The 15345-nt window shown below is 40.6% G+C and overlaps 1 protein-coding gene across 1 annotated transcript in view; it reads left to right on the forward strand.

The window, feature by feature from the left end:
• Positions 1 to 15345, forward strand: part of PDE7B (phosphodiesterase 7B) — a 343874-nt gene that overhangs the window by 251479 nt on the left and 77050 nt on the right. The window contains exon 3 of the mRNA NM_018945.4: positions 5552 to 5635. Coding sequence (NP_061818.1) covers positions 5552 to 5635 — 84 coding nt within the window. The remainder of the gene's footprint in view (positions 1 to 5551; positions 5636 to 15345) is intronic.

Consider the following 15345-nt stretch of genomic DNA (forward strand, 5'->3'; position numbering starts at 1 on the left):
ATAGTCCTTGATGACCAGGCAGGCCCAGTGTCACTCAAGAAAGTGGAAGATTGAACGCCCACAGGGGAAATTTGGGTCTAATCAGCCATCTTGGCTCCCTCCTGTAAGATCATGGTACTCGGAACAATAATCTCTGCCTAAGTTATCTGAACTGGCTGCTTGTGCTATCCCATAAATCTATGGAGTGATTAAATTGCACAACCTTCCTCCTCTCTTTTAGGCCAGATAAACATCTTAGGAGAAATCGTTCACTTAGTTAATTTGGAGAGTAGTCAGCTGAAATAAACAAAGCTTCTAGCTGAGATGTGCAGTATGGTGAAAGTTGTCTGAGATTTGGGATCTGGATTTTCTCTGTCTTTATTTTGCAAGTGGTGGCAGTGACATGAATTAGTAATGTGCTCAGCAAGCTCAGAGGAATACCTTTCATGAGAGCTGCTTCTTTCCCACCATATTTGGGCTGCTTTGCGGCTTCACCTTTCTGATACCAGCACTATCTCATCTTCCTGGTTCCTTAGTGATGCCCCTGCTATGAATCTCTATCCCATATTCCGTGCAACCTGTTTATACCAAGAACGTCACTATCTTCTTCATTCATCTCAGATGCCATGGAAGCCCAGTAGCTACTGCTCTGTCCCTGACACCTTTTCCTCACCCTGAAATGACCTTGACATACCACGACAGGGGCCAGAGTCTGGTTCTTGTCACATGGCCTGTGTTTCAGCCACTGTAAGTTGTCATCGCTGTCAGAGTCTCCACCCTCTTTGCCAGTTACATAAGAGGCTACATAGACATCTGCTTCCTAGCACAAGCTTTTATTAACCAGAGGCAGCGTGAGAGGCCAAGTAAGCAAGAGGTCCATTCCGGAGCCCTGTCCTCAGGGAGGGTGAGGGGCTGTCGTCAGGTCAGGTCGTGGCTCCTGGGGCAATTCAGCTCAGCTCTGAGCCTGTTTGCAGCCTTCAGTACAGGGGATGACATGTGATGTTGTCAGCCTGAAGGGGCAAAAAAAAGCAGCAGCCTTTCAAAATCAGAATGCCCCTGCTGTTTGTTTCCTTTTGGAACACAATAAGAACAGACTGGGGACATGACTCTAGGCTGTCAACGCTTCCTACCAGCTTCCACAGCACCTTTCATATGCCAGAAGAAAAAAAACAAGTTGCTTAAGTTAAACAAGGACTCAATGAATAGTCAAAATAATTGTTTAGCTTGGATATAAGGCCTTAGGTAAATAGATGATTGCCTGAGACCCTGGGCCAGGAAAAGCAGCTAGGCAGGACACCGCTTGTTCTGTCCCTCAGAAAACAGCCCAGTAGCCTCTGCTCCTCTGAGGACTGTTGTTACTGAATTAATTCTCTCTTCCCACCAGCGTATTAAAGCAATTTAATATCAGAACAGGCTCCTTAAAGCAGGGAGAAGGAAAGAAAACTTTCTATATTAGAAATATACCATTAACACATAAATCTTACTACATGAGCGCTTCCATTAAATAGAATGCTTCAGATTGGGAATGTCTGGTGTGTTTGTATTGAACTGTTTTCATGTTGTGAAATTTCTCAGATGCATTGTTAGCATACTTACAATTGTCCTGCCTCCTGCCTTACTGGTATTCTTAACATGATTTCATCCTTTTGAAAATGATTATTTACTACACCAAAGGGGCATTGTTAGGTTTATGAGGAATCAGCTTCTCAAAGTGCAGTGTAGTTATGGACAGTGTCAGCACTGAAATGGAATCTTCCAGGTATGGTTTCCTTATTTGTTGTTATTGCCGATTTGTTTGGGTTTGTTTGCTTGTTTAGGTATCTTTGCTCTCACCTAGCTCCATTGTTACTTGTCTCTTCTTCCCAAAGTAGGGTGCAGTGTGAAAATTTGTTGCCAGCTAATTTCAGTTCTGCTGAAGAATATTTTTAATAATTGCTTTCTTACTTAAAAGTAATAGATTCCTTGTTGATCCAGGACAGGATTTGGTTGTCTTGCTTGTACAGCCCATTTCCACTGAAATGCTCTTTGATTGAACCGTGAACTCATCAAGGGAGTGGGATTCTCCTGGTATTCTTTTTCCACAAATCATCATGACTGTACATTTGGTTTATCAGCAAACAGCAATCAAAGCATACATTACGTAAGAAAAAGTTAATGCTGACCTGTTTAACCAATTTTTCATCTTGATAATATAGGAAAGTGGTTAAGAACATGAGGTTTCAAGTCGGTTCTGAGTTTAAGCATAAGCTCTGCACTTACTAGCTCTATGAGTCTGAACAAATTATCAAATTTCCATTAGCTTTGCTTCCTCATCTGTAAAGCTGTCAAATAATAATAATAACAGCTACTTTGGGTTGTTGGGTTGATGATGTGAGATAATACATGTAAAATCCTCAGCACAGTATAAGTATTCAATGAATGTTATCTACCATATTATTTTCACATACCTTATAATTTCCTTACAACAACTCTGTGATGTAGATAAAATTGCTATGATTTATGCAATTTAAATATTAGACAACTGGACTTCAGAGTGATTACTGATTCATCCAGGGTTACCCAAGATGGCAAAATGTTCGTCCTGTCAGTACAGGAGCCCCCAAGTTCCCAGTGTATTGCCCTCCCTTCATCCATTTGGCCACAGGGTACTCTTCCTCAGTTTCCCTAAATCTAAAACTTTACGTAATAATGGGCCTCCGCTGCCCTAGATTGTCAGGTGAAGACCAGGAAGAAATCCTGTCACAGGCATTAAAAACTTCATCAATATTACACAGTGATTTCCAAAAGGTGAGCGTGAAAGTGCTGGAAGGAGCCCATGAGATTACAGCAACAGGTCAACAAATCCACAAGCCCAGCCAGCTTTGTAGATAAAATCTATACAGTTCCTCTTTGGTAATACTGAGAAGAAAATACTAATGGAGAAGTGATTTCCAAAAGGTGAGCGTGAAAGTGCTGGAAGGAGCCCATGAGATTACAGCAACAGGTCAACAAATCCACAAGCCCAGCCAGCTTTGTAGATAAAATCTATACAGTCTCCTCCATGCATCATTTTTACTGTATATGTCTCCCTTCTTACCATTATAAAACATAAATTTATTTAAAGTCAGTGAGTCTATCATTTTAACATGCTGTATTTTCTCAATTGATATTAAAACTACAACTACTTTTATGTGAGGATCTAAGATTTTCATTTCTTTTTTCATTTTAAAAACCAGGTCTACACACTCCCTAAGGTGTGTGTTTCTAATCATAAGGTTAGAAAACAACGGTATTGTAGAAAGAGCTCTTCCTATGAAGTCTAACAGCCTAGATTTAAGTGCTACCCCACTGACTATAAGCTGAAAGCACCATAAACTTAGGCAGCTCAATTAAAGTCCATAAATATTTACTATATCAGGACTTTAAGGGGCTTGTGCCCTTAACTGGGACTACAGAGCGAATAGTAGTCCTTCACAACCATTCTTCTCTGAGCCTCTATTTTCTTACTTATAAAGTAAAGAGAATAAAGGTGTCTCTCCTCACAGGGTTATTATGAAGGTCCAATGAGAAAAAACAAGAAGATAAATATACTGTCATGTTGTGAAAGTGCTTTGTAAACATAGGGTGTTCAAGACAACTGCCGAGGAGAGAAAAACACTTCAACTTTTCTTGGTAGCTTTCCTTTATTGACCAGCCACCCCATATTAAAGTACATAAGTACATTTTTTTTAAAGCTAACAGCTTTACCCTCATTGATGTAAGTTTATATTCAGACCTATAAAAGTACTTTTCCATCTATTCCTCTTCCTCTCACTTTGGTTTATAACATTTATCCATAAATTACAATATTCTTTCATATCAATATGGCAATGTAATATCACATTATACAAAGCATTGAAGAAGGCACCAATGTAAAATTCAAAGCAGAGAACAGCCCAAGAGCTCATGGCTTGCACTTTACAACCCCAAGTACACTCAAGGCCCATCTATGAGGGACATTTTAAGCATATCAGTTGCATGAGTTGCAGCTGATGGGGATCTCACCCAGGCCCTGAGTTCCTCCAGGAATTAGGAAAGGAAGGAGAGAGGACTGTTCTTCCTTTCAGCTCCCAGGCTGGGGCCCCAGTGCCACCTTACTTCGGGAAAAAGGTGATTTATGGGAGTGTACCCATTACTACTGGAATTGAAACCTTCCCTGATTCAGTTCTTCCAGAGATACATTATGTCTCACATATTTCTACCTCTCCTCTGATTCCATATTATATATAATAACTGGTGAATTTGGTCTTTATTTCTACTCTTGTCAACAGAGAACATTCACTTAGAATCCACTAAGTACCAGACAGCATTCAAAGTGCTATTATGGAGAAATGTAAATAACATGATATGCATGATCCCTGCTTTGCAGGAGTTTAGAAGGAAGCAAACCAGCATTTATTGCCAGGCAGTGAGTATTATTTTAGCTTCTCTGACAAGGACACTTCGAAGTGGGTCTTAACTTTATTTTATAAATGAGGCGTCTGAGGCTCAGAGAAATAAATCTGCCAAGATCACACAAGTAGCAAGCGTCTGGGCCAGATTTCTCCAAGGCCTACCGTGTTCTAAAGTCCATGCTCTTTCCACTCTACTCCATTACCTCCCCTGATGAGAAAGGCAGGACACATACTAAAAAGGAAAACGAACACAGATATTAAATATTAAAGGAAACCAGCCAGGCGTGGTGGCTCATGCCTGTAATCCCAGAACTTTGGGAGGCCGAGGTGGGTGGATCACAAGGTCAAAAGATCAAGACCATCCTGGCCAACATGGTGATACCCTGTCTCTACTAAAAATACAAAAATTAGCTAGGCATAGTGGCGTGTGCCTGTAGTCCCAGCTACTCGGGAGGCTAAGGCAGGAGAATCGCTTGAACTCGGGAGTCAGAGGTTGCAGTGAGCCAAGATCGTGCCACTGCACTCCAACCTGGCAACAAAGCGAGACTCCATGTCAAAAAAAAAAAAAAAAAAGAAAGAAATATATATATACATATAAAGGGAACCTACAAATAAATAAGTACTAGAAACTCGACAGACTGTCCTGTGTGCAAGAGTGGCCAAGTGCCTGGAGCAAGGCTAGCCTGTGAGCCGATTCTAAAGCACATTAATGATACAATCTGGAAAAAAGAAAGGTGGATGCCAGTCAGAAAACAATTGTGTTGGAACAAAGAAAAATTATAGTCTGGGTGATTAACACTTTTAAGAACGAAAGCTACAATGCAACACCCATTTGTCTTTCTGGATTCAGAGTCTTTGTCTCTGTGGCCCTGGGAAGCATAAAAAGACTTTTGTCTTTTTATGGAAATTTGTAAGTTGCTGTGATTTTCACAGACCCATCTTCTAAGCACATACAAGAGACCTGTGTTCCTTGTTAGTGTATTGCCAACCTCATTACACTCAGTATTAAATATTCCTTTCCACATAGCACTCTTCAGTATGGTGAATGGGAACCATTTTTCTCCTGACATCTGGGGTTGGTTTCATTGAGGATTTACAGGGGAAAAGTGAATGCACGTGGCAATGTTTTCAAGCCTTTGTTTGGATTTTCTGTTTTCTAGGAGATATACGACTAAGGGGTCAGACGGGGGTTCGTGCTGAACGCCGTGGCTCCTACCCATTCATTGACTTCCGCCTACTTAACAGTGAGTAATCAAGTGTACCTGGAAAGGAACAAACGTTTTCTTCAAAAAGAAAAAAAAAAATCCTCATTTCCCTCTGAACTTCGAAACCTTCTGGGGTCTGCCTTCCTTCCTGAATCTCTCTTCTGCCAACTAGAACTTAACCCTTTGTCTTTGAGTTTCCTCACAAGTGAAGTAATTCTGGCCCTGCACTGCCTCTCAGAGCTCCACTGAGGGTCAAATGAGATCAGGTCAGCTTTAAAAGTATAAATCTCTGGCCAGGCATGGTGGCTCACGCCTGTAATCCCAGCACTTCGGGAGGCCAAGGTGGGAGGATTGCTTCAGCCCAGGAGTTGGGCAACAGAGTGAGACCTTATCTCTACAAAAAATCAAAAAATTAGCTGGGTATGGTGGCACAGCCTGTAGTCCCAGCTACTTAATTGGGGGCTGAGGTGAGAGAATAGCTTGATCCCAGGAGGTCAAGGCTGCAGTGAGCCAGGATTGCACCACTGCCTTCCAGCATGTCTCAAAAAGAATAAAATTTTTTGTATAAAAAGTGTAAGTCTCAAAAACTGTGATGCCCTATACAGGGAAGCTACTATTTTCATTTTCCAGCACATTCTCTCTACCTTCAGCCAGAGCTAGACTAGGTGAGATTCCATTTTGTTTTTAAAACCCCACAGGGAAACCTCTTCTACAGTTGCCCTTAGTAACCTACCTGTTATGGAATTCTCACTTCTTTGTCTAATATAAATCCTTGAGGTCTATTCTTGCCTTCCTGGTAAAACTCTTCACCAGGGCAAAATCCAAAGCACTTGCTGCTTTCTCCCTTGAATCTTACAAGTTCATTGACTTCTACCTTCCCCTCCCTAAACTGCTCCTCATCAGTAGTTTTGCTCAACCTTTGGTCCACAATTTTCTTAATCTTAGGTTTCTTTGCAAACCCAAACCAGTGACCAGTCATCCCTCCAGATTTCATGCCTTATAACGATCATAATCATCCTTCACTGTAGACTTGTGGGGGAGGTGGAAGAGCAAGTGGATAAATTTCACAATTTGCTCCAAGGTTTTCAGTGTTTGGTTCTCATATCACTTCCCATCTATAAATTTCAAAGTGCTAGATTATACCCAAAGAATATTACTTTCCTTTGACATAAATAAGCTCAGCTAAAGAGGCAATTTGATTTACTTCAACCCCTGGAAATTACTAGGAGAAATTAGAACCTGTTATTTCTGATCCTTCGATCCTTGAGAGGCCAATAGTAGGTGGCATGTTTGTATTTCTCCTGGCTTGTTAATCTCCCATATCAATGTGCAATGTCTGTTTTTTTTAGCACTTTCAGGGACACAGAGACTTGGAGTAATTCTTTCCACACTAGAGATAACCTTCCCTACCCAGACCCTCAAAAATGCTTTTTGGAAGACCGAATTGAGCCATTAGACCAATGCAATATGGGATACAGCCTGCGGGAGCTCTATTGGTCTCTCTGACCTTTCCTTATACCCTGAATGGGCTGTTCCAGCTACCCACGGAAGTTACACCTTTGACAGTCTCTAGACTGAGTGGATTTCCAGGTCCTAGGCATGTGGTTTCTCCAAGCAGGACAAGGATGAGCAAGGGGTTCCATTTCACTGTTTCATATAGACCAGAACGCTCCAACGGCATCCCATTTTGAAAGTCGGAGGGAGAAAACAACCGAAAGGCCTCTTTTCAATAGTAGATGAGTGTTAGTTCATGGTTTCTAATATGAACCACAAAGGAATTAGGAAAATAAGGGGATATTTCTGTTTATAATTCCAAAGTTTCATTATTTTAAAACCTTAATCCCAGTGTTAATAAGCAACTTTACTGCTAATGGTGGTTATGTTTGCAGGTGGGACAGTGGAATATTTAATTATCTACATCATAGGATTCTGCAACATTTTTTTTTTTTTTTTTTTTTACAATTTGCCTCTTTTACTTTTGTAATCTGAAAAACAACTGCAAAAATAAATAACATTTAAAGAGAAACTCATTGCAGATAATAATTCAGTGTCATATTGTTCACCACGTAAGAGATCATCTGCCAGCAGCTGCTATCCTGTCTTCCCTTTGCTGGAGATCCTCCAGGACTTCTGAGCACCTGGGCTCAACCCCAGCCTCATTTCCCTGGCCCTGGATGCTGCCTGCCCCTCTACCCCCATTTCACCCCACCTGGTACTCACAATCCTCCACTCATCGAGTGACAGTGCTGGCCATCCACCCGGAAATTCCCTTTAGGGTCTCCTCAGCATTCCATTCCGGATAACTCTTTCACCCATGTCTCTTACTCTGTAACATATTGCAGATGCAATATTAATTTTCCTTTAGCATATTTTCCTTTATAGGTGGTCTCCAGTTTTTTTAATGTATCAAAGACACCCCAAAAAGACTATAAGATCCTAAAGACAGTCTTCTCTTTATCCCTAAATAGACTATCAGATCCTAAAGACAATCAATTGCTATTGATCATTTACTAACTATAGTTAACTGACCAATTATTAAAGGGTCTCCTCGAAAACATTATATTAAATAACTATGAATGTAAATCATCCCCTGTGTTTAACTGAACAACACGGGTAGGAATGAAGGCCTCTAAGATTTTCCTTTGTGATACGATTTACCTCTTGGTATAATGCACCAAAGACCCCATTGGTGAGTTGAAACTAGAACAGATAACATTACTGTGGTCGCCCTCCACGGTTCCTAACTTAGTTTGCAATTACAACAGCTTGTCACCATGGAGCAGAGATGTATGAACATCTGTGTTATGCACAGTCACATAAGGTATATATGGCATATCTCCTACTACTTCATATACTGTCTATTTAATTCTCTTTAATATCATTCACGTCCTTGTTGTGGTTTGCCTGAGTTGTTAGTGTGTGCTTTATGCCTAAAGGGAAACATCTTGGGACATTTGGGGATTTTCTCGTAGAACTTTTCTTTTTACCAGCTCATTCTTATTCTACACTGTAAGAGCTGAACTAGTTTAAAGTGATTCTTTAGATCACTTACCTTAATTTTGAGTCAAGTTTTTCCCAGTGTGGGCACAGACCCCAAACTTCATTTTCCTTGGGTGCTTGCAGTTTTGTTCTCTCTCCCACAGTAAAATCTAATCTAGGATTTTTTTAAACCATTTATAGGAAAAACCAAATCACCATAGCTGTCACTCCCCAGCTCTGCATCCCTGCAGCCTTCCTTCCAAAATGTTAGTGAAACCCACACAACTGCCATCCCCTTTCCAAAGTGTCGCTGGGTGGGTGTCCCTCCCCCACCCACCTCAGTATATGCATTGAATCACTGGAGCACGCAAGAGCAGAAATGTATACTAAATAGTGAGGCCCATGCATTTCCCCATTGGTCCCATTAGTCACAGCCCCAGTTTGTCACAGGAGGGCAGAGGACATCAGAATTAAAATCTAAAATTACTTGTCTTCAACCAGAACAAAGTTTCTAGGCGTTAAAATGGATAACTAGAACAGAAGTGGACAAATGACTGTCCACACACCAAATCTGTCCCCTCCTCCTGCCTGTTTTGGTAAATAAAATTTTACTGGGATATTGCTATGCCCATTTGTTTATATGACATCTATGACTGCTGTCACTGAAACAGTGGCAAAGTAGTTGCACAGAAACCGTGTGGTCTACAAACCGCCCCCCACAAACCCCAAAATACTCACCCTATGGCCCTTTACAGAACAAGGTTGCCAATCCTTAACTTAGATTTTTTTAAACAGATTTAAGAGAGCTTTTTGACAAAGCCACAAGCACATTCAGTCCAGTGTGTTTATCTTTGTTAATGTCTTTTTTTTTTTCTGTTCAGTTTCCACTGCCATCACTTTACTTTCAAGAATGGACTCACATTGACTAAATTTTTATGAACAGAAGAATAAACAGAGAGGGAACCTCTGTTATTGATGCAGATTTTAAATTCCAATTTAAAATTATAATTTCTACTTGCACATTCTTCTGGAAGAGATTATTTTTGCGGGGAGGGGAAGCACATGTTTGGGGCAGAGGGAAACACAGTACTACCAATTTCATGTACCTGTTTTCTGCATATAAGGTGACTCTTGGTTTGCCTGGCATAGTCCTAGTTTGCACCTGTTGTTCAGGAGTATTTATTAATAGTGCCATTTTTCATTCCCAGAGTGTCCTGATTTGGACACTAAATTACAAGGCCAACTGCTTATATAGGTTTTCCCAAAAAAGAGTATTTAAATTTAATGTTTCTCAAAGATCACATGCAGGAATAAGCTTAAAAGATCTATTGTATAATATTGTGACTATAGTTAATAACAAACGTATATTTGAAAATTGCTAACAGAGTAGGTTTTAAATGATCTCATCACAAAAAATAAGTACGTGAGGTAATGCATAAGTTATTTAGCTTTACTTAGCCATTCCACAATGTGTGTGTGTATATATACATATAGATCTTGAAATATGTTGTATACCATAAATATGTACAATTTTGTTAAAAATAATAATACCATATCATATGCATTCCAGGAATAAAGATTAGAAAATCATTTTCATAAGAGATTCATCTAGATCAATAGAAATACATAACACTCATTAAAAGCTAATTTCGTTCCCTGTTTCTATTTTACACAATTTAGAAGAGAGTCATCTCTATGAACTTCTTGAAGCTTCTCTGGATAAATAGCAGGAAACTGTGGCCTCAGCACTGTTTGTGTGGGACATAGGAAAGATAGATCTTTAAAGACTGTTATCTTTACACCTAAGCATAGAGAGCCAGAACAGAGAGAAAAGGGGGAAAATTGTTTTTATTCCAGATGATGTCCTAACACAGAGAACTGGAGGGACGGAAAAGTAACGGCTGTATTCTCCCAATGTCGATTTCCTATAGATTTATTTCATTTACTAATTCTGTTTGTAGGGGGGAAACAAAGGAGGAAAAAATGTAGAGAAGAGTGTTCTGAGACTTGTGGACCCAGAGGGGAGAGTTGCAGAAGCAATTACAACCTTCTGCAGAGCAGGCGGCTCCAGCAGCCCCGTCTACAGCTCTGTCTCCTGATTTAATATAATCAGCAGCCTGAGTAGATAATGACTAGGTTGAGATGTTCCCGTGGCAACCATCTCAGAGCAACACAAAGTGATTTCCACACCGGCTCAGCAGAGGAAGTGACATACAAAGAAAACGTGCTCAGGGACTGTGGAGCTTGAGGAAAAGAAACAGCTTCAGCCTGAGGTTTTAGGGCACCAAGTATCCACTGCTACAGAGAACCCAGAGCTCCAGACCAGCCCCTGGGCTTTGCAGTAGTAGGTTAATTGGCTATTTGGCTTTTCCTGACTGTTAATTTGCTAATCTTGATCTTTAAAGCTCTATTCCTTCAGACTTGACTCTCCTGTCAGGGTCATCTTAACTGCACAAGCATGAGGTCATTTTAGTAGAGCTACAAAAATATTTCCCTTTACTTATTATTTCCCAAATGGAACCAATATATACAAACATATATATTTTTTAACCTTTCTATGAAGAAGTGACCCAGAGACTCAAATATTTTTTTAAAGCTGCCATCTAAAACATATTATACCCTGCAGCCATTCTTTCTTTGACATATAAAACACACTCTCTTTGACATATAAAACACACTCTCGATGAAGGACTGTTGAACAAAAGCCACTCAGTATGCTGGAAATCATCTGGCCCTAAGTGATAGCCCCATCTTAAAGATGGAGGGACAGTTTCCTTCCAGACTCCATTTCCTATGAGAGAATTCTTGGCAGACAGTTACAGCCTTTTAGTAACCTTACAGATACCTTTTCCTGTCACCTATAAGAACTACACAAAATGCAAAGAATCTGAACTAAAATGTCATTGGATGATTTGAATTCAGTCATGCTGAGAAGATGCTATCCCACCCCCAGCCCTGTGTTCCCCAAGCGGAGAAGGGAGGTGTCCGCTGGGACTTGTTCAGACTTCTCCTCACACTTGTGAGTGCCAAGGTAACACCCTACAATTTCAAAGTTCAATATTTACCTTCCTCTAGAAGAAAGGCAAGGCACTGGCTGTGGTAGTGGTGCTTTCTGGCTCAGCTGGATCTTGCTCCATGATGGTGCACTCAGGGCTTCTGGCTGCAAGCTCCCAGCACTTCAGCTGCGGAAGTGCCAGGGCAGCAGGATGGTTAACCACTGAAATGCCCACTAGCTTGCAGAAGACAGAGTTGGCGATGTCCCGACTCTCCCTATTACTACCCCTCGACGGAGCACCTCCTATGGTAGGCATTGTACCAGTGCTGGAGATACAAAGATGAATGAGACATGGCCACTGCCCTTGAGGGATTTACAGTAGCATAAGCTACTGTATCTACAATTTATTTACAAATACATTTTGATGTGGTGTGATACACCAAATAATACATGCCTGTATAATAACAGCATACATAATATGAGAAATATATGCATCTACGGGATTCAGAGGAGTTCGAGAAGGGAATAATTAACTCTGTCTTGGAAATTAAGGAAGTCTTCCTGGGAGAAGTTAAAACACAAGCAGATTATGGAAGCAACAGTGAAATAAAAGAGGGCTGTATGCTAAGGTCAACTATTAGGGCCATTATAAAATACGCTTTAAGACTTAAGAAACCAGGAAAACATTGTCAACAAGTTTGCTCAACTAGATAAAAGTGTTATTGAAAGACAAAGTATTCTAGTGGGATCCAAGCAGAGAAGTCAGGAAAAATTATACAACATATGTCTGAGAAAAAACATATTCAAAAAGAAACCATTTTCACCTTCTACATCTAAAAGTGAAAACAGCCATTGCCTTCTGTTAACCTGTCTGACATCATTTAATGGATTACTTTTTATCTGAAGGATGAAAAATAGAAAATTGAGTTAGGGAGTCCAGTACTTCCTCTGGGTTTTCATTCATTTATTCAGTCAACAAACAGCACCTACTCTATGCCAAGAAGGCCATGAAACCCAGGTGCTCTGAGCCACACCAACCGCCACAGGACTGAGATAGCCTTTTGTATGATGGCTACCTTCTGTCTCAGACAGCAGTGGGACTGGGGTCTACCAGAGACACCAAACAAAAATATCTGAACAATTCCTTTTAAGTCAACAAGGACCGGGGAGATGGGGGAGAAACCTGCTATATGCTATATCTGGGCAGAAAATTCTGAGGGCTAGAAAGGAAACTATGAGATATTCTGCTACCCTCAAAGAGCAAACAATCTCATTACATAGACAAGGAAAATAAACATTACACCAAGTACCATACAACAAAGTAAATGATCTAATTCTAAAATAAGTAACAATAATCAGAGACAAGAGAAGGCAGAGATTACTGAAGTAACCTGAGCAGAAGAAGGCTTTATGGTCTTGTGCTAAACACTGAAAGATAAGACAGTGTTGACTGATTAAGGAGTTGCCTATAAGGGAGACTGACCTACATATGAGGACATAACGTCATTAAGTAGGAAGAAGGTCCAAAAAGTAGCAAATAAAGTTCATTAACTAGAGAGAAAGGCTTGGAATGCCAAGATAAAGAATTCAAACTTGTCTCATTAAGAAGAGGATCTCTAGAGAATTTTGCAAAAAAGGTGAACCGTATAAAACACTGTTTGAGAAAATTAACTAACATCCATATGTAGGAGACACAGTTTCAATGAATCCAAAGAAATGTAATCAGGCTGCAGACTGTGATGGCTGTAGAGATGATAGTGTAAATCCACAGATTTCATATAAAAGAAGACATAAAACTGGAGGATACTGAATATTGGGAGAGCCAGAGTTGGTCTGGCCATCTGAAAAATTGGAGCTGAGATCAACAGTCAGAAAAGTTAGAGGATGAGTTAGGGGAAAGATGGTAAGCTCCACTGGGACAGGTTGAGTTTGCAGGAGAATCGAGTGGAAATGTCCGGAAGAAAGCTAGAAATAATGGACTAAAGTGCAGAGGAGAGGTCTATTTTGGGAATTCCACTTGGGAATCATAATCATTCATGAGCCATCTGGCCAGAACAGGCGTCATGAAGTCAACCAACTACTTTTGTTCAGGGGCCCCTGTATTTTTAGTTTATAATAAGCTTGATTTTGAAAAGCATTACAAGACTGTCCATGAGAAATCCCACAAAGAAATTAGTTTCCTTTAGTGAGAAACTCTAAATTTTTCTCTGTGAGAAACTATTTAGACATAAGAGTTCAGGCACCACCTCACTCCCTCATGATGGATTCTATTGAGTACAAAAGTGACTTGTGTCAGATCCCAGCGGATTTGCTAACTCACCTGAACACAGCACAGAGAAATGGCCATTTTCTACTACAGCACTTCCTTGAGCGAAACTCTAACCCACTCAAAGTATTTTCAGCATAGTGGCTTCTTTGGATTTCTGGAGACATTAAAATATAGAGGGAAGCAGAAGTAAATTAAGTTTTTTTTACTGAAGTTACCTATGAGTCACTGAGCTAAAATGACTTGTTTGTTCAATAAAATTAAATTCAACCTCCTACCCAGAAACAGGCAGAGCCTATCTCTGTGACCTCATTAATAAACCAAATGCAGGGCTATTTTTTTCATTGCCATCCCACCTTCAACGTTTCAGAATATCTAAGGGATTCACTGTGGTCCCCATTCTACTGTATGTATGAAAAACCAGAACATGGCCCCATCCTTAATATCTTTTGTATGTTTTCAAACTGAGATCTCAGGGTTCACACACAAGATCAAAAAGACCTTTTTTTCTTTCTAACTAGCAGACCAAATTGCCTTGGGGCATCTGGGTCCTTTATTACTTTTAAGTAAGCTGGGGAAGAAGGGCAGAAGTTATGGAGGAAAGTCCCAAGAAGAAGGTGGCCAATGCCACTATATCTAACAACAGCCACCATAACAGCTCTAGTCTGAGAGGTGCTTAACCCCAGGCACAGGATGTACAAGGCCAGGTGTGCACCCCTCTTAGGCAAGGTCCCCAGGCTATAGGTCTCTTGGAAGCCTGGAAGCACAGGAGGATTGCTGTGAATACTAAAAATAAAAATGAGTCCCTTCACAACCAAACCACGGCTGCCTCTCTGCCTCTTCTACCATGGTTGCCCCACCCAGAGCTCCAAGCTCACTAAGTCATCATCAATAGAGGAGCCCACAGAAAGACCATGAGCTTTGAAGTTAGACCTGGGTTTGAATCCTACTTATACTGTGAGCTTGAAAAAGATGCCCAAACTACTTAATGTTCACATACATGCAAGATTTTAATTTGATTGGGTTGTGGTGAGGAGTAAATGAGATAAATGTGTCCAGAAGCCTGCCTTGCTTATAATAGGTCCATAATAAATACAGTTGAGTTTTGGATGTCCCTTCTCTCTCTGCTGAGTACATCCCTCTCCAGCCACCTCTTCTCCTAGGAAGCATCTGTTCACCCTTCAAGCCCTGGCCCCATCATTATGTCCTTTGTGAAGCCTTCTTCAATCCTCCCAAAGGAGTGAACTCATCATTCTCTCTGCACTCCCACTACATCTCCCAGAAAGCATTATCACATTGTAACTGCGAAGTCATTGAACCTGAATTTCTGGAGGTAGAGCCCAGGATATTTTCAAAACAGCCTCAGGCAACCTGAAGCAACAAGCCTGGCTCTGGGCCTTCCAGGAATATTTGGGAACCACTATATATGTCAATTATGGCATACAAATTATATCTATGCTTTGCACAGTTAGACTCATTTAATCCCCATAAACACCCTATAAAGTAGCC

The sequence above is a fragment of the Homo sapiens genome, chromosome 6, assembly GCF_000001405.40.
Source record: "Homo sapiens chromosome 6, GRCh38.p14 Primary Assembly".
Taxonomy (NCBI): domain Eukaryota; kingdom Metazoa; phylum Chordata; class Mammalia; order Primates; family Hominidae; genus Homo; species Homo sapiens.